The 26,618-nt window shown below is 49.2% G+C and overlaps 1 protein-coding gene across 22 annotated transcripts in view, besides 8 other annotated features; it reads left to right on the top strand.

Annotated features, from left to right (window-relative positions):
- The window catches only part of CHST15 (carbohydrate sulfotransferase 15), an 85,931-nt gene that overhangs the window by 41,027 nt on the left and 18,286 nt on the right, over positions 1–26,618 (top strand). For 18 of the 22 annotated variants that reach the window (NM_001270764.2, XM_047425324.1, XM_047425327.1 and 15 more), the window contains 4 exons: positions 5,848–6,905; positions 7,653–7,992; positions 10,125–10,271; positions 13,901–14,057. In NM_001270764.2, the coding sequence (NP_001257693.1) occupies positions 6,360–6,905; positions 7,653–7,992; positions 10,125–10,271; positions 13,901–14,057 (1,190 nt within the window). In that variant the 5' untranslated portion in view covers positions 5,848–6,359. Of the gene's footprint in view, positions 1–5,847; positions 6,906–7,652; positions 7,993–10,124; positions 10,272–12,529; positions 14,058–26,618 lie in introns of those variants that run through there. The other 4 variants (XM_011539857.2, XM_047425334.1, XM_047425333.1 and 1 more) reach the window with 2 other exon arrangements.
- Positions 1,569–2,069: an enhancer, noted in NCBI's record as "H3K4me1 hESC enhancer chr10:125810019-125810519 (GRCh37/hg19 assembly coordinates)". NCBI's record gives its function as "activates a minimal SCP1, AML or CMV promoter by ChIP-STARR-seq in primed H9 embryonic stem cells {active_cell/tissue: H9 hESC(primed)}" and the evidence as "EXISTENCE:reporter gene assay evidence [ECO:0000049][PMID:30033119]".
- Positions 3,111–3,611: an enhancer, noted in NCBI's record as "H3K4me1 hESC enhancer chr10:125808477-125808977 (GRCh37/hg19 assembly coordinates)". NCBI's record gives its function as "activates a minimal SCP1, AML or CMV promoter by ChIP-STARR-seq in primed H9 embryonic stem cells {active_cell/tissue: H9 hESC(primed)}" and the evidence as "EXISTENCE:reporter gene assay evidence [ECO:0000049][PMID:30033119]".
- Positions 3,612–4,112: an enhancer, noted in NCBI's record as "H3K4me1 hESC enhancer chr10:125807976-125808476 (GRCh37/hg19 assembly coordinates)". NCBI's record gives its function as "activates a minimal SCP1, AML or CMV promoter by ChIP-STARR-seq in primed H9 embryonic stem cells {active_cell/tissue: H9 hESC(primed)}" and the evidence as "EXISTENCE:reporter gene assay evidence [ECO:0000049][PMID:30033119]".
- Positions 9,098–9,337: an enhancer, noted in NCBI's record as "active region_4162". NCBI's record gives its function as "activates an Ori minimal core promoter by ATAC-STARR-seq in GM12878 lymphoblastoid cells {active_cell/tissue: GM12878}" and the evidence as "EXISTENCE:reporter gene assay evidence [ECO:0000049][PMID:35858748]".
- Positions 16,352–16,401: a silencer, noted in NCBI's record as "silent region_2906". NCBI's record gives its function as "represses an Ori minimal core promoter by ATAC-STARR-seq in GM12878 lymphoblastoid cells {active_cell/tissue: GM12878}" and the evidence as "EXISTENCE:reporter gene assay evidence [ECO:0000049][PMID:35858748]".
- Positions 18,007–18,528: an enhancer, noted in NCBI's record as "H3K4me1 hESC enhancer chr10:125793560-125794081 (GRCh37/hg19 assembly coordinates)". NCBI's record gives its function as "activates a minimal SCP1, AML or CMV promoter by ChIP-STARR-seq in primed H9 embryonic stem cells {active_cell/tissue: H9 hESC(primed)}" and the evidence as "EXISTENCE:reporter gene assay evidence [ECO:0000049][PMID:30033119]".
- Positions 18,529–19,051: an enhancer, noted in NCBI's record as "H3K4me1 hESC enhancer chr10:125793037-125793559 (GRCh37/hg19 assembly coordinates)". NCBI's record gives its function as "activates a minimal SCP1, AML or CMV promoter by ChIP-STARR-seq in naive and primed H9 embryonic stem cells {active_cell/tissue: H9 hESC(naive and primed)}" and the evidence as "EXISTENCE:reporter gene assay evidence [ECO:0000049][PMID:30033119]".
- Positions 25,227–26,223: an enhancer, noted in NCBI's record as "H3K27ac-H3K4me1 hESC enhancer chr10:125785865-125786861 (GRCh37/hg19 assembly coordinates)". NCBI's record gives its function as "activates a minimal SCP1, AML or CMV promoter by ChIP-STARR-seq in naive H9 embryonic stem cells {active_cell/tissue: H9 hESC(naive)}" and the evidence as "EXISTENCE:reporter gene assay evidence [ECO:0000049][PMID:30033119]".

The raw sequence follows: 26,618 nt of genomic DNA, 5'->3' as shown, positions 1-26,618 counted from the left end.
CCAGTGCTGTACGTGATCTGTTGCTAGCGGGGACTTCTTTTGAAAAATACAGAGGCCCAGAAACCTTAAGTGATTTGTCCAAGGCCGCTGGGTGGACATGGACTTGGAATCCTAATCCATGTGACTGCTGTGTCCTCTCCGCTGTGCTATGGGCCAGTGAATGTTGACGGAGTGGTGTGGCTTTATTCTGCTTATTGACTGGGATGTGATCAAAACTGTCGAAGTCCAGATAGAAGACTGAATCTGATGATTTATAATTTGTACAGAACTCTTCAGTCTTGTTGGCTTTCTTCTCAGTCTCAGCAACAACCTTCTATCTTAGAGCTACATGTGAAAAATGTTCCTTCTCCTACTTGTTGATGAATAGTCCTTGAAAAAATATATTTCCATATATATAGCCTAGAGAGGAATGTCAGCAGTTACACATACTAATCAGAAGAAGGCTTTGTGTTTTAGTAAAGGTTAATTAAGACCCATTGAATTTTTTTTCCTTAAAACATAAAAGAAAAATAATGTAATTAGCTATTTTTTTCCCTCTCTGTCCCCAGAGGGCAAATGTAAATGTTCTACCTAAATGAAGCTATTTGTTTAAATCCATCCAGATTTCTTCTGAAGTTTCATACATCTTTCTTCTGCTATATCAGCTTATAGCTACAATAATTTAATAAGTTTTTCCTAGGGTGAAATTGGATGCCCTTTATCGATCTTACACTGAGGGGGCATTCAATTACTTAATCTAAAGTGGTATTTCTGGGTCTCTCAATTACAATTTTGTTATAAATGGCTTGCTAATGATGCTTGGGTGCATAGGTTAATAGGGGGTGTCCAAGCAAGGGCTGGGTAATTGAACACTTTCTATTTTGGGACCCGTTATCTGATTTCTCTCCTGGTGCCAGGTTCCCACAGTGATGGTCTGCAGCCATCAGGCTCAGAATTGAGCCCAGGTGGGAAGCAATCTCACTGAAATGTATACCTGAATCCTTTGGTTTAATACATGAACGGAAGTGCCAAGGGCCCCGTCTTGTCTGAGTCGACCGGCACCAAATGTGGACATTCCAGACAGGTGAAGTGCAGGGGGCATACATGACTCCTTTCTGAAGGAAGAACCACTTGAGTGTTAGGTTTCTGAATGACTGTTCTTGGGATAATTTGTGGCCTACGGAAAAGGCCAGATACAGAACGTAACAGCAATCCATTTTCCTTTCAATACCACCCCATTAATTGGATTTTTCTTCCCTGAGTTATGTTCTTTAATAGTTATACATAGTAAACTATTCTATACATATTTTACTATGTATATTTACTATACATAGTAAAAATTCTTTTGAGGCCAGGCGTGGTGCCTCATGCCTGTAATCCCAGCACTTTGGGAGGCCAAGGCGGGCTGGATCACTTGAGGCCAAGAGTTCGAGACTAGCCTGGCCAACATGGTGAAACTCCGTCTCTATTAAAAATGCAAAAATTAGCCGGGCGCAGTGATGCATGCCTGTAATCTCAGTACTCGGGAGGCTGAGACAGGAGAATCGCTTGAACCCAGGAGGCGGAGGTTGCAGTGAGCCAAGATCGTGCTGCTACACTCCAGCCTGGGCCACAGAGTGAGATTCCATCTCAAAACAAAAAAAAGAATATGTAGTATGCCTTCCTTCTTGCACTCGAGCAAATCCCACCCCTGACTTTGGCCTTCAAGACTCTACAGAGCCTGGTCCCTGCCTCCTCTCCCATCAGGTTTCCACCCCCACCAGCCTGTGCCCCAGGGCCTACCCTGCCAGTAGCCCTCATGGGCTGGGACTCCCCACAGCGTCTCTCTACGGGGCCTTTGCTTCCCCTGGTCTCCACGTGACTGGCTTCCTTCTTGTTCAGGTTTCTCCTCCAACGTCCCCTCTGAAATCAGGTCTTCCCTGTCACCCTGTGTATCATACCTCCCACTTCTTTAAGGCAGTAGCTCCAACCCAGGGGTGATTATGCACCCCAGGGGGCACTGACAATGCCTGGAGACATTTTTGGTTGTGACATGTCAGGGGAAGGGGTGCTATGGCATCCAGTGGGTGGGGGCCAGGGTGCTGCTAAGCATCCTACTGTGCGCGGGACAGCCCTGACAACAAAGCATGGGCCAGCCCTAGGACGGCACAAAGAATTCCAAAACCCTGTTCCAATGGTTGTATTGCTCTCTCCCCCTTTTCTTTATTCTTTTCTGCATAGCCTTTATCTAGCAGCATCTGTGATTATCTTATTCATTTGGGACTTCTTTATAGCTTGTGCCCTGCAGCCCCTACCCCTGGTGGGACAGAAGCTCCACTTGGGAACAGGCCTCCTCTCTGGGTCAGCCCTGCACCACTCGCGCCCGTCAGGGGAGGTCTTGTCTGGAAGCCGCCGGGCTCTAGGGCCTTCACTTACAAGGGACTCACCTGGTCTTCAGATTGCTTGTCCATCTTACTGAGTATTTGACATACTATACAGTGGCTATCGATTTTGGTAAAAACTTGTAAATGTAAGACAGTTTTATGTTTTTTTCTCAGAGAGGCCCCCACCCCCACGCCCACCGCAGCCCAGGGGTATTTTCCAACACCAGCAAATCCTCCAACTCCAGAACCTAACTGATTATCTTACCATTCAATTCAAGTCTGCCCCTACCAGAGGCAGCCTCAGACTCTACCGGTTTGAGGGCTCGGTCTCACCAGACTGCCCCACTTCAGATGCCAGTCCCAAGTATTGGGTCCCCAGGTTACCCGCACATCTGTCCAAATTGGCTAAAAAGGCAAGAGTGTCCCACAACCTCCTCAGGTTCAGTAATTCACTAGAATGACTCACAGAACTCAGGAGAGTGCTTGACTCATCATCAGTCTATTATAGCATAGAATGCAGAAACAGCCAGCAGATGAGACGCATGGGGCGAGGTATGGTGGAGGAGGGTGTGTGGAGCTTCCATGCCCTCTTCCTCCACTCCACCCTCCCAGCACCTCGAAGGATCCACCAACCTGGAAGCTGCCTGAGCCCTGTGGTTTAAGGGTTTTGATGGCGGTTCCATTACAAAGGCCTGATTGGTTAAATCATCAGCCACTGGTGATTGACTTAATCTGCAGCCCTTATTCCCTACCCGGAGTTTGGGGGGTTTGTTGAAAGCTGCTCACTGAGGCTTGGTCTTTCTGGTGACCAGCCTCCATCCTGGAGCTATCCTGGCCCGCAAAGTGTCACCGCATCAGGATACACTCAGGTATGGCTGAAAGGGGCTTGTCATGAATGACGAAAGGTGCTTCTCTCACCCCATCATTCAGAAAAATTCCAAGGATTTTAGCACCTGTGTACCAGTACCCGAGGATAGAGACCAAATACTCATCTCTTATTTCCACATCACATCCCTCATCTTGTATTGGCTTTTGGTCTCCCCCTACCTGGACATGCGCAACACTCAGCTGTTCTTCAAAAGGTATTTGTTGAACAAATGAATGAATGAATGAAAGAATGCTAGGAGCTGAGAAAACACTGTATCTGAGTGTTTTGCTAAGGCTCTTGCAGCATCTCGAATTGCCTCCTCAGGTCTTTCTGTTTAGGAAGCGGGACTCGCAGAGGCCGGGCTGGTTGGTGGGGGCAGCTGCCCCGCAGACATGCTCTGTGGACCCGGTCCGGGCACCCCATCTTCCCTCCTCTCTGTTGAGACTGTCGGCTGCTCATGTTTTTACTTTGCTTGAAATGAGCTGCCCCTGCCCTTGTTTAGGAATGTTTTGCCCATTCGTTTGGGTCCAGATTATGTACATTCCTATCTTGGAGCTTCAAAGTCCGTGTTTTGTTTGCTTTTTAAAGAATCTAATTCGATTTTCTGCAGCAGAAAGACAGGAGGGTGCGAATTCCCTCCCCGCTGAGCTGCTGGTTGGAGTCTCATTTTTAACCCCGGCTTGGCCCTGTCTTGGACATGTGAAAAAATGTTTTCTTGGCTTTAATGATGGAGTTTCCAAGTAGGGGATCTTGCCCTTTTGTTTCTTTAGTTTGGAAGAATTGTTTGTAGCAAGCGATGGGTCAGGGGTGGTTGAGCAAGTTTGAAGCAGAGGTTGATCCTTGAGGTTTCTGACATGTCCCTCCAGCTGCCCTCAGGGATAAGAGATGGGGGTAGGGCCTGAGATGTCTGGCCTGGCTTCCCAGAACTGGCCCCTTCTGCATCCCCGCCCCAGCGCCTCTGCAGGACTCAGGTCTCAGCCTCTACTGACCAGCCTTTCTCAAACTGGCTCCTTGATACCCTAGTGAGATTCCTTGGCCAATTAGGTACTTCCAACTTTGTGTATTATATTCCTCTCTTGTGGATTCACAGGGCTTATTAGCATATCAAAGGCCCTGAAAAGTTCAGCTGTAAAGAATTCTGTGTAATTTTGTCCATTCCACATTTTCTCCAAATAATTTAAGCACAGAACACTCACCAACGGCAAGCAGAACATTTTGTGGGAGGAAGACATTTTGGGAAACACAGCTTGGCTGTTTCTTGGCCACCATATTTTGAGAAAACATGAAGTTTTCAGTCCAAGGGGCATGAACATTTCTTCTGTTGAGTTCTGATTGTTTAATCCTTCAGCCAGTACATGGCGATCTTGATGCGCGGTTAGTTAATGCTGCCTCTATGGAGACAGTGAGGGTTGTTTGAGGGGTGGCGTGGGTAGAGTTGGAGATGAGTCTACCACTCTTGGGTAATTTTCAATTGCTAAAGAATAATCATGTGGTATAGGATCTCTCATCTTTGATTCCATTTCAAATGTTTTTGGCATTCACTGACAATGAAAAATCATCATCATAATAGTTGATGATGCTATTATTATCAATGCTGTCTACCTTTTATGGTATGCTAAATATGTGGCAGGCATTATTCAAACTGTTTACATGTAGTAGCTAATTTAGCACCTGTTAAGGTGTCCTTATTATCCTAATTTTACTATTGAGGAAACCAAAGCTCAGAGAGGTTATGTGGCTTGCTCAGGGTCACACAGCCAATTAGTGGTGATCTACCACTGCTAGAAACTGAGTAGGTCTCCTTTTATGCTTATCCATGGCTCTTTCTACGACATCTACAAAGAAGTGTCATTTGGGCAACAATATATTTTATAACCACAGGATTCTATTAATGGGTTTTTAAGAATCATATCTTGCTCGAGATGATGAAAGTGAAAAATTATGTCAGGTTCTGAAGCTCTGTGTCACTCGAGGGAATCCTATACATTGGATTTAATTGCTTAATAACTTAAAGTCAAGTAGTTTTTTAATATGATACATTCTACTGAAGGAGAGACTCATTTCATTGTTTCTAAATTTTCATTAACTTTTGCTTCCTAATCTGATAATAAAGGTTAACTCTAAGAAAGAGACTGCTGATGCCAGTGAGAGGGAAAAAACACATTTTCTCTGCCTGCTCCCTTTCTAACCATCCTCCTTAGTATTCTTGAGATTTTTCATTGACTGAAAAGCACTGATATTTCAATCCATCCCTCAAATTTGTAGTCATTGACTGTGCATGACTCTGAGAATGATCACAACATCCTGGGATTCAGAGATCCTGTACCTGAGAAGTATCAAGGCAGAGGGATTAGGGGAGATGTAGACTATGCACAATGTGAGACGTTTGATGTGGCGCTGGTGGTGCTGGGATTGGGGCCATGTTTGGTGGCAGAAATTGAGCCCCAAAGCCAGCTGCAAGAACCTGAAACCTCTTCCTTTATGCTCGCGATTTTCTATGACTTGCTTAGAACCAGGCTGGCTTGGCTGGACTTAGAGGTGGAAAAGAGAGTGAGCATCTGTCTCTCCTTGGAGGATGAGCTTTGGGTTATTGCTATTACCACACAATGTAATAAAGCTTCTTGTCTTTCTGTGTAGGAAATCTGGCATTTTTTAAAGTTTGCGCCCCACAAAGAGGAAATATTCCAAAGGTACTCAGGATGTAAAAGGGGAGATCTTCACAGATGCCTCCGTGGATGGCATGGCAATCCATCCATCAATGAGAAGACCATGATTTCTTTTAATTTTCTGTGTGTTTCCACATTCCCCAGTGAGAATTCTTCCACCTTTTTTTGTGCCATGGGAAAAACCTGAAGGGCAGGCAGAGCTGCTCCCGAACTTGTGACCTTCTCTGAGGTTGCAGCGGCTCTTGTAGAACATGACTCTGGGACATCACTTCCTTTTGTTTTCTTTCGGAGCTGAACCAAAGAATGTGCACCCTCTTTCTCTAGTGCTGTGGTGTCTGCTTATTTTTGTATTTGTGCTTTCCATCCATCTTCTGTGATCACAAGGCATTCTTAAGGTTTTCTAGCACGACTTGCGGACATCCAGACTCGTGGGGGGCCCACCCATGGCTCGGTAAGCCAGCAGCCCAGGGCACTGGCACTACCATGAGGCACTGCATTAATTGCTGCATACAGCTGTTACCCGACGGCGCACACAAGCAGCAGGTCAACTGCCAAGGGGGCCCCCATCACGGTCACCAGGCGTGCCCCACGTGCAAAGGAGAAAACAAAATTCTGTTTCGTGTGGACAGTAAGCAGATGAACTTGCTTGCTGTTCTCGAAGTGAGGACTGAAGGGAACGAAAACTGGGGTGGGTTTTTGCGCTTCAAAAAGGGGAAGCGATGTAGCCTCGTTTTTGGACTGATAATAATGACCTTGGTAATGGCTTCTTACATCCTTTCTGGGGCCCACCAAGAGCTTCTGATCTCATCACCTTTCCATTACGGAGGCTTCCCCAGCAACCCCAGCTTGATGGACAGCGAAAACCCAAGTGACACAAAGGAGCATCACCACCAATCCTCTGTAAATAATATTTCATACATGAAGGACTATCCAAGCATTAAATTAATTATCAACAGCATCACAACTAGGATTGAGTTCACGACCAGACAGCTCCCAGACTTAGAAGACCTTAAGAAGCAGGAGTTGCATGTGAGTAGCTTTGTGCTAATCTTGACTGATTGGTTGATTTTTAGAAATGAGTGCTTTTCTTTCTATCACCATCTTTGGGAACACAGAAGGAAAATGACTAAAAAATGTCTTAGATGTAGCAAGGATCATTTGACAGCCTTATGGATTTGAATGCACTGAGAGAGTGCTGTTTGCTTACGCTATGGAGTGCCAGGAAGGGAATCTGCTGTCCTGAACGCTGGGCTAGGCATGTTCAAGGGCCGCTGGCTCTCATTATTGCATTCCAGGACTTCTTGCTTGATATGTGGTCGTGGTAGTTAACAGTTGCTTTTGCAGATCACCATCATTTGGGATTTTAAAGTTGCGTTAAATTTGATTTTCTGCTTCTATTCTACATTTTAATCTCTAACGGCAATTTAAATATACAACTAGTAAAAAGATTCTGCTTAATTACCGTGTGTGCGTGTGTGTTGTGTAAGTGTCAGAAAGGTAAATTATGGTAGAATGGATTTTAATTAAACTTTTATCTTTATTCTCTCCAAGTTTTTTTTTTTTTTTTTTTTTTTTTTTTTTTTGTGGGGCGGCGGGGGAGAGGAAAGCACAGTCATTGACCGTCTACCAAGTTTTGCTTTATTTGTTAATCATTGTCAAATATTAGTTCAAATTTGAACACGGTCGTCAGTCTCAGGGCAGGTTCCCATTGCGGTTAGATTGTGTCTTTGCTCATTTTCCCCTCCTCTGTGTCTCTCCTCCTCTGTTTCCTTGCAGATGTTTTCAGTCATCCCCAACAAATTCCTTCCAAACAGTAAGAGCCCCTGTTGGTACGAGGAGTTCTCGGGGCAGAACACCACCGACCCCTACCTCACCAACTCCTACGTGCTCTACTCCAAGCGCTTCCGCTCCACCTTCGACGCCCTGCGCAAGGCCTTCTGGGGCCACCTGGCGCACGCGCACGGGAAGCACTTCCGCCTGCGCTGCCTGCCGCACTTCTACATCATAGGGCAGCCCAAGTGCGGGACCACAGACCTCTATGACCGCCTGCGGCTGCACCCTGAGGTCAAGTTCTCCGCCATCAAGGAGCCACACTGGTGGACCCGGAAGCGCTTTGGTGAGTGCTGGGTCCCAGGGCTCCTGTCTGGTCTCGTTCCTTCATTCGTTCATTCCTCCCGCAACGTTAGCGCTGGGGTTGGGGGGCGAGGGCGGCAGAAAGAGATGGCACAATTCCCTTGTTAGGAGGCTGTTCCCAGGCAAAGACCCAGCAGGGTCTGGAACTCGGTTCCCAGCCATGCAGTGAGCATTGATTGCCAGCTGTGTGCAGGACACGGGGACGAGTCAGAACTGGCAGCTCTTCTTGTTCCGAAAGCCCGGGCACATGACCCGAGCAGTCAGCAGTAAGTGCCAGTGGCCAGTAAGGGCCAGCAAGAAGGGCGTGATCCGGGCTCTTGGCTCCCAGCTCTGTGCTATTCCCTGCTCTGTGCCGCTCCCAGCTCTGTGCCGCTCCCAAGCTCTGTGCCGCTCCCAAGCTCTGTGCCGTTTCCTGCTCTGTGCCGGTCCTCTGCTCTGTGCCGTTCCTCTGCTCTGTGCCGTTCCCTGCTCTGTGCCGCTCCCTGCTCTGTGTTGTTCCCCTGCTCTGTGCTGTTCCTTGGCTCTGTGCTGCTCCCTGCTCTGTGCTGCTCCCTGCTCTGTGCTGTTCCTCTGCTCTGTGCTGCTCCCTGCTCTGTGCTGCTCCCTGCTCTGTGCTGTTCCCCTGCTCTGTGCTGTTCCCCTGCTCTGTGCTGTTCCCCTGCTCTGTGCTGTTCCTCTGCTCTGTGCTGTTCTCAGCTATGTGCTGTTCCAGCTGCAGTCACTGCACCTGGGGGAGACTGAGTTGCTTCAGGCCTCAGCTTCTCTGACCTGCCCCATCTGCCTTATGGGTTCCATATGATAACCACATGGAGATCATTCTGGAGGCCTTGCTCTCAGCCCTTTGCCGCAGGCTTACCATGACCACTGCCCATCCCTCTCTGCTCCAGCTTAACCCCATGCACCCTGCGGTCCTCAGATCACTGTTTCCTCTCTGTAACCTTTTCCTTGTGCCAGGAGAGGTTTGGTCACTGGAGCTGAGGGGTGATACGTGCCTATTGTCAACCAGAGTCCTGGCAGGCCACGAGGGTGTTTTCCAGTAATGGACTCAGGTTGACTAGAAGGGAATCTTCAAAGTTTTCCCTAGACCAACTCTTAATGTGTTTCCTGACAAACGTTTGCTTTCATCCTTTTGATGTTCGTCCTACAGTGAGCTAAAGTGTAAATGTTTCTTTTGTGGTTTAGCAGCCGCCACTGTAGGAGCCAGGGTTTCACATCCCTATGCATTTGCTGGACGTGTCTGAACACACTCCCTTGCTGTAGGGTGCTCCCCCGAGGCTCACAGTGATTTCCCCTTAATGAAAACCAGCTTTCTACCGGCAGGAAAGGAGGAAGAACAGAGGCGGGCCTCTGGAATCTAGTCTTCAATGTCACCTTGAACCTCTTGTTACTTTGGCCACGGATGTTCTCTTTCCAATTTCCATTGACTTCAGGAGTTGTGGTGTTGGGAAGTGGATTTTTAAATGTTTGCAAGTGAAATTTATTTATTTTTCAGGCAGGGGGTGAATTTAAGCTGTATGTGGCCGATGCCAGAATCCATGTCTGTCTAGAGTATGATCAGTTCCCCTTACTGTTTGGACAAAGGGCAGGGTATTTGATTGAACAGGGGGAGGAGAGAGAACATCAGGCAGGTGCTGGCTGGGCCCCATGAGGAAGGCATCATGGAGTTTATAGGATACTGCCCTTCTCTCTCCTGTGGGCAGCCCTCGGTCCTCTCTCCCTGTTTGACACAACACATGCATCCTGGGTGTCATCGCTGCCCAGCCACTTACGAGTCCCACCTGTGCACAAGTTAACCAGCCCCAGACTTTGTCCCTCCAAGCAGACATGTTTCTAGCTCTTGAGTAGGTGTTCCAGCCTTTAATCTGCCACTGTCTAGCTTAGTGGTGGTATCTTCCAGCCCTTGAAGCATGCATGGATTGAAGTGGGTAGCCAGGCCGCATAGACCCCCACCCCCATCCCCAGCAGCCCTTTCTGAAGCTTACCTGGGCTGAGCCTCTTGCTGCTGTCGCCAGGCCCTTTAGGCCTTTCCATCTCTCTTTGGTTGCTGTCTGGGAGGCCATCGCTCCAGCAGTAGCAACTTTGTCCTCAGTATCTCCTGCTTCTTGGTTCTCATAGGAATCGTCCGCCTAAGAGATGGGCTGCGAGACCGCTATCCCGTGGAAGATTATCTGGACCTCTTTGACCTGGCCGCACACCAGATCCATCAAGGACTGCAGGCCAGCTCTGCAAAGGAGCAGAGCAAGATGAATACAATCATTATCGGTAAGGCGTCTGTGTCACTCTGGCAGGGCTAGCACCCTCCCTGGGGTCCTGGCTCTGGCTCCAGGCCTAGCCCAGCTCTGCTTCACCTCCAGAACATTTACATGGTGGCAGCAAACTTCTTTTGAGCCTCCACTTCTCCACCTGGCTGTCACTCTTACCACTACATAAAATGTTCACATCACTTGAACATTACTATAAAGTGGAAATGTTGACTTTCTAATTCTTTGGAGACTTAAGGACAGCTGATGGCTTTCTTGAGAAGTTGCCATTTCTTTGTTTTTAAGAAATTAAGCAGGGATATTGACTTCTTTTCCTGATGTACTGATCTGATAAGTTTGGATGGGGGAATTATAAGTGCAGTTAACTGGTTAGTCATCGATTTGCTGCTTGGGGCTTTTGTAATCCCTGGCCACTGGGACCATATAAGACGGAGGCAGCTTCTCCTGAAATAGACTCAGCTCTGACACATCGCCTATAACTAATTGCTGTTTAAAAAGCCTAGCCCCTGTCAACCTCATGCCTTTGGGCATTCAAAGTGAGGTTGATTAATAATAATTTGTTTTAAATATTCACAAGAATATTTTATAAGTAAACATACATATTTACTCTTTAAAATTTATTTTTTATTGTATAATTTAAGGTGTACAGCATACTGTGATGTTTCGATGGAAATAGAGACAGTGAAATGATTGCTACAGTAAAGCAAATTAACATAGCCATGTTTTTTTCACAGTTACCTTTGTGTGTGGGGAGGGGGGCGTGTGTGTGGTAAAAGCACCTGAAATATACTGTCTTGGAAAATTTCCAGCATGCAATACAGGATTAATAGGATTAATAACTACAGTGCACATGCTCTACCTTAGATCTCTAGACTTGTTATTTGCCTGACATAATTCTTTTTATTGGATTCAGCTTAGAAGGCGTTTATCCACTGATGCCTTCTAAAAGAGAAATTGAGTCACGTTTTGCTTAAATTGTTTACCTTAGATAGTGATCTATTTTTTAATTTTCCTAGATCTGTTATATTTGCAATCTCCAAATTAAATAAATCTATTAGCAACTAAGAGGAATTATAATCAGCCCTTCGAAAGATGACTTTTTAACTTAAGACTCTCCTGTCCAAGGGGACAGACTTATGTGCCTAAGTCCTGACTTAACTCTTTTTTTTCTTTTAAACTCAAAGAAATTAAGTCACTGGGAGTCACCTCCAGTATGATTTGGCTGTTATCTAGTTTTTTGCAAACTTGGGAGTCCAAACTCCCCAAATCTCAAGTCTGACTTACATTTCATTGTGACTCCTATACCATATGCCTCTGGGAAAATCACATGTTCTTATGAAAGAGATGAAAATATGTATTCTCCGGCCAGGAAACAGAGACTAAGATAATGAATGAAAAAGGAAAGCCTCAGTTTGGTCTCCTAATTTTGCTTGCTCCAAGATTTTAAAAAGAATGAAAAATAAAATCACTGTGCTGATATTTACTTAAAGCAGAGTTTGGTGAGTTCTATGGTAGTCTTGTGGTGTGACAAGTATCTAGCCCTGCTTGGGCCAGCGGCCAGCTCTGTGCCTTGCGGCCGTTCATTTTTCCTGTTCCTGGACTCTGTCTGCACCTCTGCAAAGTGGGATTGTTGGACCAGGTCAGTTCTAGACTCCTTCCAGCTCTGAAATGTGACTCAGCTCTGCCCCAGCGCTTCCTCTTTGTTAGATTCGGGGCAGAAACAGCAGGATCTTTCATCATCTTGGGCCCCTAGGTCAGAGAGGACCTTTCTTCTGCTGTCTTTTTGACAGCTAGAGTCACACAAGAGGTTCAGGATTCAAGTGGCCTGAACGTGATGGCTGAACTTGAGGCCGGAGCTTTAGACATGTTGAAAGTCTCCTGCCTCTACTCCCAGGTACCCATCGTGGTACTCTTTGTTTCTTGAATTGCCATCGTCCCCCTTATGTCTTAAGGTCCGAGAGAGGAGGGGCCGTGCTTTCCTCCCCTGATCTGTCCCTGGTGCCAAGCACAATGCTGAGCACGGATTAGACACTAAGTTAATGCTTCCTGGATGGACGAAGGATGGATGGTGGCTGGATGGAAGGAAGACAGTCAGGTGGATGGACAAACGCCTCCATGGCTCTAAAACCAGTTCATTTTTGAGATCTGACAGAATTTGTGCCAATTTAGCTAGAGAGTTCACTTGTCCTTTATATTCTTATTCATTGTGAGTAGAATTTTCAAGGGACTTCTGATTGACTCGTTTTTTCTGTATCCTAGGGTATTATCTCTTTAAAAAAAGAAAGAACAAAAGGCCAGAACAGAGCTGTTCACCTGGATGTGATTACGCATCCGACAGAAATGATAGGGGCCTGCAGGGATATGATACACTTGTCACTGACCAAAGAGACTCAGTCATCTGGCTCAGTCTCTCCCCAGATAAGTAACTTTCAGATGTGTCCTGTGGTCCTTGGCAAACTGTCAGGAAATCAAGTGTAGAGCTGATTGATGAATTTCCTTTTTCCTAAACACACACATATACACACACACATACACGCACACACACTGTCTCTCCTCAAACCCTCAGGAAATTTGGCTTCATCCTCTGAGAGAGTCTGTGCTGTTGGAATGCCTGCCTGTGTCTTGGCATCACCTCTGTGCTGGGACGTGTGTTTGCCATTTACATCCTTCACTCGTGAGGACCATGATGAAATGTGAAACTGGCTGGGACCCAGTTCCCGTTCACCCAGGCTGCACTGAGTAGGCGCCAGCTGCGTGCAGAGCAGTCGCCTCGCAGGAGACAGGGCGTGTGAGCCCTGTGGCAAAGCCCCTCTCTCTTTTAGTCTTAGAGTATGCTCTGTGATGAACAGTTACAGCTTCAAGGAAGGAAATCACACTCAAATTCCTCATAAGGGTTAGTGTTCCCACCCTCCTCCTTTCTCCTGACGCTTTGGAAGGAAATCATCTAGTACCAGCTCCAGGCTCCTGGTCTGCTAGACCAGTTCTCGGCTCCTCCCGGCTCTGAAATGTGGCTCAGCTCTGCCCCAGCTCTTTCTCTTTGTTAGATCCTGGGCAGAAATGTCAAGGCCTTTCATCATCTTGGGCCCCCAGTTCAGAGAGAACTCCATCTATTATTACTAGAACCATCTACTGTATAGAACATATATTGGAATACTATACAGGAAAACCATTTTCAAAACCACCTATAATTTCCCACCTAGATAACTGCTGTTTATGTTTTGGCGTGTTTTTCTGACAGACTGCATTCTCAGTGGGCCCTTAAAATGCCACAGAGCTGTGCACTGTGAGCAAAGTTAAATACTGTGAAACTGGGGGCCCAGGTGCTAGGGAAGGTTTCATTTTTGCTCCCCTTGGAAAGAGGAGCTCAGGGGTGGGGGCACTCAGTGTTGCATGGATCGCCTGGACTTCCAGACAGAAGTTTTTGGGGTGGAGGTGGGGTGTGGCTGTGGCAGGGGGGGGCATCCAACCTTCTCTCTTTGGAGTCCCAGATGCCCGCAAAGGCTGACAGCTTGGCCTCTCCCGCTGCTTAAGAGGAAGGCATCGGGGCCAGGTGTGGCCTCTGGCACCTAGAGCCACTCCGTGGGAGCCTGAATCACACCCCTGCTCACTTGGAGTGTTTTCTGTTTCCAGGGGAGGCCAGTGCCTCCACGATGTGGGATAATAATGCCTGGACGTTCTTCTACGACAACAGCACGGATGGCGAGCCACCGTTTCTGACGCAGGACTTCATCCACGCCTTTCAGCCAAATGCCAGACTGATTGTCATGCTCAGGGACCCTGTGGAGAGGTGAGCAGTTTCTGTGTGTTGTATTTGGGGTGAGAAGAGGAACTTTTGAAGAACAGTGTTCCCCTCTCATGACAAATAAGATTTTGTCTCCTTTAGAAAAAATTAAACAGGTCGGGTACAGTGGCTCATGCCTGTAATCCCAGCACTTTGGGAGGCCGGGGTGGGTGGATCGCCTGAGGTCAGGAGTTCAAGACCAGCCTGGCCAACATGGTGAAACCCCATCTCTACTAAAAATACAAAAATTACCAGATGTGGTGGCACACTCCTATAGTCCCAGCTACTCGGGAGGCTGAGGCAGGAGAATCGCTTGAATCCAGGAGGCGGAGGCTGCAGTGGGCCAAGATGGTGCAACTGCACTCCAGCCTGGGTGTCAGAGTGAGACTCCATCTCAAAAAAAAAAATAAAATAAAATAAAAACAAACAAAAATAAACGGAACTTGCAACGTTACTGCTGTTTCTTACGTAAGTGTTATTCTTGAGGCTGTCCCCACTGAGTTGACACATGTTGCAGATGGTTTTCTTAACCATTCTGATCCTGGTCTGTGTGACTTCAGCCCCAGCAGGCCTGACCAGGGGCACAGGACGGTTCCTTGGTACTGTCAAGGCGAGGGAAACACCCTTAGAATCAGGGGTGTAAGCTTCTCCACGTGGTTTAACTCCTAGAATTCTGTGTCTCTCCACGTGGTTGATGCCTTTATCCTTGTCTGCGTTGAATGTACAGTTTCCAGCTTTCCTTGAGAGACCAAAAGGAAGAACAATGCTGAGCAGAGCAGCTTTGCTTTAAGATCAAGGGTTTCCCAGTGTGGGTGAGGCCAGGGTAGTGGGATATTGAACAGCCACTATGGGGCGGCCTGGCTGGCACTGGGCACTGCTTGCATCATTTATGCCTGTGTGAATGCAGAATCTCAGGGCTGCCAGGACCTGAAAATTATTTGGTCCAGTGCTCCCTCCAATACTTCCACATCAGAGCTAAGGGGGCACCTGTCTAATCCGAGGCCCTCTGAGTCAGGGAATTCTCCGCGCAAGATGGCCAGTGTAGCTTAGGACAGCTGTGTTCCTATTTTGAGACCAGGTCTGTTTTGGGGAAACATCCACTCATTGGTCCTCTTTCTTCTCCATAGAGTCAGACAGACCAAGTCTAATCCTTCCAAAACAGGAGAGGCTGGCGATATTTAAAGACAGGGACCACAGCCCTTTGTGTCTTATTTTCCTTTGGGCCAACTACATCTTCTTATGGATTGAATTGTGCCCCCCAAAAAGATAAGCTGAAGTTGTCTCCCCCAGTGTGTATGACTGTGACCTTATTTGGAAATAGGATCTTTCTTTGCAGATGCACTCCGGTTAAAATGAGGTCATACTGGATCAGGGTAGACCCTCACCCACCCTAAGACACAGGGAGCATGCCTCTTGACGAGGCTGGAGTGATGCTGCCACCAGCCAAGGGGTGCCAAGGAGTGCCGGCAGCCACCAGAAGCCAGGAGAGGAGTGGAACAGATTCTCCCCTGGCATCCCAGAGGAACCACCTCTGCCCCACACCTGGGTTTCAGACTCCAGCTTCCAGGACACTGAGGGAAGAAAGTCCTGTCATTACGCACCACGAGTTCGTGGTGATTTGTCCTGGCAGCCCCGGGAAACTGACCCCTGGGACCCCTTCTTCAGGTGGCATACCTTCCTGGCCCCACGTATTTGCCAATTATAACAATAAGGCGTGTTTGTTGTGGAAATTTTGGAACATATATTGGAAAACTGTTTTCAAACTATTAATTTCTCACCTAGATAACTACTATTTATGTTTTGGTGTATTTTCTTCCAGACTTTTCTATGCAAATAAGTGTGTGTGTGTGTGTGTGTGCACATGGGTGTGACAGGACAGTCTTATGTCCTGCTTCTTTCACTTTGCATTGTTGCCCCCCAGAAACATGCTTTAAAGTCTGCTCTGGTCACACTTCTGAGCTGATGTCCCTCTTGTGGAGTCTGCATGGCTCCCGCTGCTCTGAGTATGACCTGGTCAGGGAGAGGCTGGATCTGCCCTCCCTCAGCCCCAGCGCTCTGAGCCTGAGCTCTTGGTGGCTGTCCCGGTGCCATGCCTTCTAGCAGGTGCCAGGTGTGGTTTCGCTCCCTGCTCTCTGCATCTCCCAGCCCAGGACTTCTTCCACTCTGTTCTGAGGCAGGCACTGACTTGCCGTCCCTTGCCATGTCCCACCTGCTGGTTCCCGTGTTTTGGAGGCAGAAATCGGCCCTGCTGAGTGGTCTCCCTCCATCCAGCAGGGCTGACGCACACTAGCCGAGCTCTCATGGTGACATAACTGTCACCTCGAGCTGACCCCTCGCCGCCCCCGGAGGTGTTTGCATAGCTGCTCTGCCTCCCTCCCCGACACGGCCCCCAGCTGAAGGGCGCAAGTGCTCGGTGTGCTCATCAAATGTTTTCCTGTCGCTGCTGCTTAGTTCCTCATTCTGAGAAAGGTCAGACCACGCCTTAACCTCAGGGGCCGAGAGTGCACACAGCAGCCTTGTGTACTGTCTGGGCACAGAGAGGTGGGGGCCCATCTGTCGGGACTGGGTTTGGTGTGTGTCAGCCCTGCTCTGGGCCCTGGGAGACTGGAGCTCCCAGTGGGGACGTGGGCATGGCTGTGGTTGGTTGCAGTTCTGCAGAGTAGGAGGTGAGGAGAGTGGGGCTCCAGAGTGGGGAGATCCAGAAGGAACTGACCTGGAGAAGACTGATGCCAGACTGGGTTTTGAAGGATGAATAAGAGTTTGCTGTGTAAACAAGGCAGGAAGGTGGGTTAAGATGAAGCCTTCCAGGCAGAGAGGAGGACAGGTGCAAAGGAAAACACCACATGTTCTCCTGTTTAGGGTGGAGCCAAGGTCCCTGTTAGGGGTTGGAGCCAGGGTCCGTGTTAGGGGATGAAACCATGGGCCCTGTTAGGGGATGAAGCCAGGGTCCCTGTTAGGGGTGGAACCAGGGTCCCTGTTAGGGGGCGGAGCCAGGGTCCCTGTTAGGGGATGAAGCCAGGGTACCTATCAGGGGTAGAGCCGGGGTCCCTGTTAGGGGGTGGAACCAGGGTCCCTGTTAGGGGGTAGAGCCAGGGTCCCTATTAGGGGTGGAGCCAGGGTCTCTGTTAGGGGGCGGAGCCAGGGTCCCTGTTAGGGAGTGGAGCCAGGGTCCCTGTTAGGGGTGGAGCCAGGGTCCCTGTTAGTGGGTGGAGCCGGGGTACCTATCAGGGGTAGAGCCAGGGTCCCTGTTAGGGGTGGAGCCAGGGTCCCTGTTAGGGGATGAAGCCAGGGTCCCTGTTAGGGGGTAGAGCCAGGGTCCCCGTTAGGGGTGGAACCAGGGTCCCCGTTAGGGGGCGGAGCCGGGGTCCCCGTTAGGGGGCGGAGCCGGGGTCCCTGTTAGGGGGCGGAGCCGGGGTCCCTGTTAGGGGTGGAGCCGGCGTCCCTGTTAGGGGGTGGAGCCGGGGTACCTATCAGGGGTAGAGCCAGGGTCCCTGTTAGGGGGTAGAGCCAGGGTCCCTATTAGGGGGTAGAGCCAGGGTCCCTATTAGGGGGTAGAGCCAGGGTCCCTGTTAGGGGTGGAGCCAGGGTCCCTGTTAGGGGATGAAGCCAGGGTACCTATCAGGGGTAGAGCCAGGGTCCCTGTTAGGGAGTAGAGCCAGGGTCCCTGTTAGGGGTAGAACCAGGGTCCCCGTTAGGGGGCGGAGCCGGGGTCCCCGTTAGGGGCGGAGCCGGCGTCCCTGTTAGGGGGTGGAGCCGGCGTCCCTGTTAGGGGGTGGAGCCGGGGTCCCTGTTAGGGGGTGGAGCCGGGGTCCCTGTTAGGGGGTGGAGCCGGGGTCCCTGTTAGGGGGTAGAGCCGGGGTCCCTGTTAGGGGTGGAGCCAGGGTACCTATCAGGGGTGAAGCCAGGGTCCCTGTTAGGGGGTGGAGCCAGGGTCCCTGTTAGGGGATGAAGCCAGGGTCCCTGTTAGGGGATGAAGCCAGGGTCCCTGTTAGGGGTGGAGCCAGGGTCCCTGAGTATGTTTCTTTCTTCCTGGAGTTCTGGTCCCACCTCTGAGGATACCAACACCACAAAGGTGAGTGCTGGAACAGAAGACAGCAGCACCGTGCAGGTGCAAGCGGCTCAGCAAGGAGCAAGACCTGCCAAACTCTTCTCTCTTACCCCAGCCTGAGTCTGCCAGCTAGAAGGAGGCTCACAGTTCACAGCATGGTCCCCCCAAGTAGTCACCGTGTTTTCTTCTTTTAATAACAAATACTCTATGTATCCTAGGAACTGAATGTGAAAGCTTCTTGCCTCCCTGGTCCTCAGCCTAACAGAAATAGTTGGTCAATTCAAACACATATTCAGCCCCTGCCACAGGCTGGGTGCTGTGCTGGGCACTGAGCATACGTGCCCTGGTGAACAACAGTGGCGACCCAGTGCCTACCCCCTGGTAGCTGGTGCTTTATCAGAGAAGTGGGCGGCGGCTTCGTCATGGCTCATGTCCTGGTGCTGAGGGGAAGGGCAGGATGCCAGGGCAGCAGCGTGTGTTAGGACGCTGACCCAGGCCTTGCATTGCCTGCTGTACTAATTAGTACTGCTGCGGAAAAAGTTTGCCAAAACTTAGCAGCTTCAAACAGTTTCTGGGGGTCAGGAACCTGGGTGCAGCTTTACTGGGTCCTCTACTTAAGGTCTCTCATGAGGCTGTGACCTAGCTGTCATCAGGCTGGGGGTCGTCAATATGCTTGACTGCAGAAGGACCTGCTCCCAAGCGCACATGGTTGTGGGCAGAATTCAGCACCTCAAGAGCTGTTGGAATGAGGGCTTCACATCTTTGCTGGCTTTTGGCGAGAGGCTACCCTCCATACCTCACCACAGGGCCTCTCCGGTATGGCTGCAGGCTTTATCCAAGCCAGCAAGCTAGAGCGTCTGCTAGCAGATTAGAAGTCACGATTTTTTCTAACCTAGTCATGAGTGTGAAATCCCATCGTCATTGCCATATTCTGTTGGTTAGAAGTGAGTCATGAGGTCTAGCCACACTCAGTGGGAAGACACTACAGGGTGTGAATACCAAGAACCGGGGATCACTGAGGACCGTCCTAGGAGTCAGCCACCTCCCGTTCTGCACCTGATCCTCAGGAAACTGGGGCCTGGGCTTTGCAGCCGGGAGAGTAGCTTCCAGCTTGATCCCAGCTCTAGTGGCAGAGGAAGTGTGTTTATGTGCATATTTTCTGTGTAAGTTACTGACATAGCAGCTGTTTCATTTCTTCTTAAACATTTATAAAAATAAGTAACAATAGGAATTTCTTCTTTTTCGAAGCCCATGACCCATGGCCTGTCTGAAATGGTTGGCGCGTTTCCCATCTCAGCCAGAAAGGATGATAAATACTGTGTGTTTAGGTCACTCTTGAAGAAACAAACACTCTGAGCCCAAGTTCCATCAGTCTAACGGGATCCTGGGCCATTAGCCCTGTTCTGTGACCTTGCACTTCTGGAAGCAGGAGATTTTGGGGGTTGCTGGCTGCAAGTTGGATTGGTCCAAGTTGTTCTTTTCCTTCTATAAATTGGCTTGGAGAGGGGAAATACCACTTTTATTTTTAGTTTTAGGTTCACATTCAGCCTAATTGATCCAAAGTAGAGGGTTTGAAAATGTTGGAATTTTAAGCAAAGTCAAATCACTTTTAAATTTCCAGAGAAGGAGTCAAGTGGCAAGTCCATTTTTTTTTTTTTTTTCTGGAGGAGAACAGAGGAATAATGGAAACAAGTGGATGGGATGGTTCATATGGCCAAAGAAGCCAGCCAAGAATTCATGTTCCAGTTTCCTCTCTGTAAGAGATCATGACAATTTAAAACTAGCTTGATGCATTCCTATGCTAAATTGGCCCAGTTAATTAAAAAGAAGCCACCAATTGCAAGCAGAATTTTTCTTTATTTAATCCCATTCGTAAGTGGTAAAGACTATTCTTTTCAAATGCATCTCACATTAGCCTCCTGCCTCTTCATTTGTGAGACAGTTGATAGTGTTTGTCTCTTAATTCAGAGGCAGTTATAGCCCCCGTTAAATGTGAAAAATGCGTGGAAGGTGCTGGCACCTCCAACCTAGTTGCATTCCTCCTTTATTCAAGGGACATTTGGAGTGGGGTCATGTACCATCTGTTAAGGATTTTACCGTGTCTATGTTTGGGGTTTGATTCTGTGTGTAGTCTTAATGCAATGCCCAGAAACAACCCACCACAGGAATGGTTCATTTTCCCATTCTGTGATGATGAGTCCAAAGGGAAGGAGAACTCAGCTTGGCGAAGAATTCAAACTCGATTTTGACCCAAACCCCTGGAGTCTTGGAACCTGGCTAGTTCTTTTCTTCATCTGCTTATATAAACTGATTTTTTAAACAACCCGTTGGACTGGTCAAATGATTCAGTTATGACGATAAACTAGGAAAGGAAGCAGGCTTTTAATGAAATGGATTCTGTTATAGGCAGTCACTCATGGGGACACAGAGGAATAGCAGGGCTGAACATTTGGGCAGGAATCCTGGTTTCATCAGTTTCACTCTGTCTGCAGAGTGTGTGAGGGGGCCTCAGGGTGGTGCACAGCTTTCACCCGCTGAGTGTCTGGGAGGTGTACCGGGGTCATGGTGGCAGGAACACAGGCATTGGAACCCCAGCCCTGTCACTTACTGCTCTGTAAACTGGGACAAGAAACTTAACCTCTCTGTGCCTTATTTTCTCATCGGTAAAATGGGGGAAGATAGTCCTACCTCCAGGGTAGTGAGAGTTAAATGACTTAATATTTGTAGTAACGTGTTTAAACAGTGCTTGACAAATGGAAAATATGTAACTATTATTATTATTAGGTATCAGTTATTACTAATAATAACAATAAACTGATCACTCATTTACTCACTCCCCAGAGTTGCAAACCACATAACCAAGTTTTGGTCAACAGTGGACCCCATATATGATGGTGGCCCCGTAAAGTTATAATCCCGTGTTTTCATTGTGCCTTTTCTATGCTTCAATACATAAATTCTAACTCTTATGTTACAACTGCTCACAGGATTCCTGCGGTACAGGCTGACAGCATAGGAGCAGTAGGCTGTACCTCGCCACCTAGGTGTGTAGGGGGCTGTGCCATCTGGGTTTCTGTGAACACTCTATGACATTCACATAATGACATCACCTACTGATGCATTTCTCAGAACATATATATCCCTGCTGTTAAGTGACGCCTGGCTGTATTTATTGAACACCCTTGATGTGCTAGATGCAAGCTGTACATAGGAGAGGAAAATCCATCCCGTTTGCTCTCATGGAGCCTCTGTCTAGTTGAGGGAGTAGGGCCAGGCTTCATGTAAATGACTGAGCTGGGGCAGCCCCTCAGAGCTATCTCTGGGTGAGGCTTCTCCCATCCACCCATCATTGGACAGGACCACCTGTGGAGGCTTAACCTTGGTTGCTGCTGGTGGTCTCTTCAGCTGAGGCTCGTTCCCAGGAGGGACTGGGCTGTGAGTTATTAGCAGGATGGCTCCCCAGTTTTGCAAAGCTCTGTAAATAGGAAGGACCCGGTATTTGTGGATGCCTAAGCCTGGATGCACCTCATTCACCTACTTCCACATCAGAGGGAGCAGGATGCCCGCCCTAGGGCAAAAGCCAGCACACACAGAAGGGAGCTGAGCCGGATTCATGCCTTCGAACCGCAGCGGAACTTTGACTTGAGAATCTCTCTTGCTATTCAGGCAGCACCGGAAGCCCCTCTCCAAACAGCTCAACTTCCCCCAGCCCCTAGAAGCACTGATTGAAAGCCCTGGATGTGTTCTCAATCAGAAGAGAGCCTGGCACTGGGAATGTCATGCGATGTTTTCTCTAGAACAGATTTGCACAAGGATTAAAACGCAGGCTGTTCCTAGCACTGAGGGATTCATTATTGATTTAAACCATCTCAAAGGGAAATTAGGAGAACGCCTCTGTGGAGAAGAGACGGAATGAGGAGAAAGCCGTGGGGATGTAGAGGTTGCAGCAATAGCCACGGATCGATTTCTCTTTCTCACCTCTCCCTCCAGCTCTCACTCTTTCCTTTCCTCTAAGATTTTGGAAGATTAAGAATTACAAGGGTCCTTGTGAGGACTACTGTAGTGCGGTGTCTTTATTGAAGCTGCCTATTGATTCCTGGTGGGTTCAGGCATTTTGCTTCCCAGAAGCTGCCTGTTGACACACCTTGATATGGGCCCTGGAAGCGGCACGAGGTCACTTTAATAGGACTGAGCTGTTGAGCCACCTGAGGTCAAGGGGGTTGGCCTCGATCACAGAGCGGGGAGGGAGAGCTGGCAGCGCCCAGGCCAGAAGGACAGCTCGGGTCTTTGTGAAGGGGTTCTCTGAAGACTGTTCAGGAGGGACTGCCTGGTGAGGCGCCACATCTTGTTATTGGTGGGAGAAAAACCACCAAGCTGAAAACTCCCAAGTGCTGAACACTGTTTATGTTTTGGGGAAATGTTTGTGAAGTCCTTGGCAGTCCTGTGTATTCCCACATGATTGTTTGGAAAGGACGGTTCCGAGCAGGAGGAACACTATAGGGAAAAAGAGCTCCGTTGTGTCTGTATCTGCAGAGATCCTAAGGTGAGATGTGTGCCCGCTGGGCTGGGATCAGGGAGGGCACTTAGAAACGACCCTGGGGCAGCCACAGTTCAGGGACCTGTCTCACCCGGAGTTCTGGGCTGCTTAGTGAGGTTGACGCTGTTGAAGGAGGGGGTGGCAGCACATGTCACATACTGGCCCCGCCCCGGTGTGCAGTGGCCATTGCCCTGCAGTGAGGGGCCCACACCCTGCGCCTGGCTTTATAACCAGGGGTAGCCCGCCAATCCTCAGTGCACCCCAGTTTTCTTGCTTGTAGAAACATCTGCCATGAGAGTCACTGGTGAATCACGAGAAGGTGCTTTGTAAACCACGCCAGGCTCGGAGATGTCAGGGATGCTTGGTGTCGCCTCTGAGAAGTGCTGCCTCCCAGTCTGTGAACAGTTACCGGGGCCCTGTGATTGGATGCTCTGGAAGGAACAAAGAGGGGCTGGGAACCCCACTCGTGCACAAGGAACCTAGGGCCTGGTAGGAAATAGAATGGCCCCAACAAACAGGGCACCTGCCATTCATTTGGGCGTTTTTAGGACCAAACATGGATGTTTGTAACTGGCAGAAAATGAGCCTCACCAGTGTCACCCCTGTGTTCAGTCTAAGGTGACCTTGGACATTCCCTCCAGATCAGCTGGCCTGGCCAGTCCTGTCTCATCCAGCCTCCTGATGAGACAGTCACAGTTTGTGATTCAGTGGAACAAAAGGGCTCCGTCTCAGCTACATTAAATGGCCTTTTTTTCCTGGTAGGAAAAAAATATATAATCATTATTGATGGCACCATATCACAGGCTGGGAATTATTGATCAGTGATTTAAATTCGGATGCCAGCAAATGGAGAATAACAAGGCCAGGTGCCCTGGCTCCCTCTCATTACAACCCTCACGTGGCCACAGCACTGCAAGATGTTGTTGAGGGTGAATTGGAGGACATGAGTGTGTCCCCATCTCGGGTCCTCCTGCCTGAGGAAATGGGGCCGTTCCGGTAACTGTCATTGAGGAGCCAGCTGGGGGGTTGGGGGGTGTTTGAGGAGCACGGGGAGGTGGGGCCAGCGTCACCGGGGTGAGCCAGCCCAGGGATGGTCACCTGCTCCCAGCCGCCTGCAACTTCAGCACCAGCTTGGGATCTTTTCTCAAAGGTGGCCCTCTGAGAAGTCCCATACGTGGAGCAGTAACTGGAGGACATGTCAGAGCTCAAGGCCACCAAGCGCCTGCCCTTGTCTGAGCTGAAGCTGAGATTGAAGCTTGTGCGTTTGGGTGCCTTTTGAGCTGGGTGATCTCAGTGACTTCTGACATGAGTCCCTGTGGGAACTGCTGTGTTAGAACCAGCAGTCGCTCATCAGGGTGATGAAAACATCTTGGGACTGGGGAGTGGTGGTGTTCACACAGCTGTGTGGTGTATACTAAAAACTGGCGAATTGTTCACATTAAATGGGTGGATGCTACGGTACGTGGATCATTTCTCAATATAAAAACGATATGAACAAAAATACAAAAGGAGGAGGAACCCACTATGGGGAGAGGTTTTCCCAAACTAGTGGCCTTGGAGCCAGGTCCTGCAGAGTTCTCCACATAGAGGCCAGGCCGATGAACAACCACATCATCACTTAGGAACAGGAACCATCAAACTCTAATGAGCTATTGCGATCACCAAGGAATATTAGCTTTTCCAAGAGATACAAGATCCCGCAGTGTGTTCCGGCTTCATGATAGATGCCTGAATTCCCTTTTGCTGTTGCTGTCACTTTTCTAGATGCCGGATGTGATGTTCCGTAAACACATTTGCTGTTCCCGACCGTGGCATTGGAGTTCCTCACGTTTATCCTAAGTGTTTATTTGCCACTCTATTACATTTGTAATTGTTTATCAGTCTCCTGTGACTTATTAAGTAGTTCTGGAGAAGAATTGACTTTCTCTTCCAAATCACCGTGCACCTAAAATAATAAAAACACCTAAACAAACAAAACCCGAAAACTATCAGTGCAGACGGCCAGCACCCACTCTAGTCAGCCGTGGATTCGTCTCCTTGCCTAAGCTCGGAGGGCAGGGGCCACATCCAGCTGGGTGAGGCGCTTTGGGGTCAGGCAGGCCTGGGTTTGTTTGGGTCCCAGCCCTGCCCTGGAGCTTCCTGGGCTGCGTGACCATGGGCAAACTCCTTAACCTCTCTAGTGTCAGCCTTCTCCCCCAGTAAAATGGGGTGGCCCACATCTCATTATGGGGTTGTGAAGATAGACGCAGAGCATGCATGCAGCACCCTGTACAGGGCATGGTGGTGGTGGCCCTCCCTACCCCCCAGCATCCACATCAGGAGTGGAAACTGAGAACATTGCAGGTACTAAACCCGGAAAGCAATCACACAGAGCCCTGGCGGGAGGAGCAGCAGCAGCTCCTGCTTTAATAGTGATCAACTCACCAACCTCTGCTCGCTGGCTCAGAACAGCACGCTGTAAGTGTCCCTGAATGAATCCAGCAGTGGTCTTGGCTGTAAGTGTCCCTGAATGAATCCAGCAGTGGTCTTGGCTGTAATCATCCAGATTTTACATAGTAGGGCCTTGCCACTGCTGGCCTCTCCTTTGTCCCTTGGGGAGAGACATGGTCACTTTCAGAGGCACTGGATTGATGGAGCCCTATGCCCCCTAACATACATTTCCCATCCCACCGCTCCTCCAGGGGTCCCAGGACCCCTGCACTGCACAGGAAAGGGGCTGAGCAGTACCCCATGAGCACGGGCCCAGTGTGAGGGGCCGCGCCGACAGCCTTCTAAAATAACCGCAGCACAGAAGGCCTGGAATGCATTTGGACTTATATTTGGAATTGTCGTTGGAAACAGTCCTGGCCAAATGTAATACCCATCTGTTCGGGATGGTTTGAGAGTAAGAAAATGAGGTGGCTCAGCTGGAGGGGGCTGGGCAGCCCTGAAACTCAGGGCTGGGAGGGTATGATGTCCCCTGGCCCCCACGCTATCCTGGAGCCCTCCTTCCCTCCAGCCTAGGCTGCTCCTGCCTTCTAGGACCATCCCCTCGTGTTAGCCTGCCCTGACTGGAGGTATTTCCCCTTGCCTGCAACCAGGCTTTCTTCCCGAACCTTCTGCCCGCTGGTCAGTCCTTCAGGAGTTCGGGACTGGGCTCCTTCCTGCTGAGTTTTTGCATCTCCAGGGAGAGCAGCCAGGTTTGGTGCCCAGCACTGAAAGCAAGCATCCGCTGAGGCCGTGAGCTGCCTGTCGCCTGGCTCCACCCTCCCACATTCCTCATGCCGTGCCCCTGTTAATGCATCCTGGGGTTGCATCCGTGCCCCTGCAGTTCTGTGATGATTGATCGTGAGCTGTGTGTTTTCCATTACATTGGTCTCCTTCCCCCACTTCCTCATGGGATAGTGGATTTTGAAGACTAAAAGGTAGACATTTCAGTTTGTTTCTGTACGTTTCATCTTGTTCCACAGTGTGCCTGTCTGGCCTTTTGACGTCCAGTGGATACTTGTTCTTGATATGTTTGCTGTTCTCAGCATTTTCTGAGTGGCTTTAACCTATCCGAGTGGCTTTCCCCCACCCAAGATTATTAACTCACTCTTTTCCCCTGGAGAGTAGTCAAGGGGGAAATGATAGCTTTGTTACTTGAAGACAATCTTAGGAAGCATTCGCTTAATTCTTGGGGAGAACCCAAAGAGTGCTCCCCCGTCTCAGTGCTCCCCTGTCTGAGTGCTCCCCTGAAGGGAAGTGCTCCTGTCCGCATTTGCCTTCCTTCATGCTTCCTTCTGGGAAATGTGGCCACATGACCCCAGTCCTCCCCTACCCTCAGGGCCACTGTTCCAGGGTCTCAGGGTGGCAGAGAAGTATTGGCAAAAATAACTCCTTGGAGTAATTGGTCTTCCTTAGAATTGGGGTTTAAAATCTGTCTGGTTTCCTAGGGCAGTCATAATAAATCACCACAAACTTGGCTTCTTAAAACAACAGAAATGTAGTCTCTTATGATTCT

This window comes from Homo sapiens, chromosome 10 (genome assembly GCF_000001405.40).
Source record: "Homo sapiens chromosome 10, GRCh38.p14 Primary Assembly".
NCBI classification, from domain to species: Eukaryota; Metazoa; Chordata; class Mammalia; order Primates; family Hominidae; genus Homo; species Homo sapiens.
This window is presented reverse-complemented; position numbering and strand designations above follow the sequence as displayed.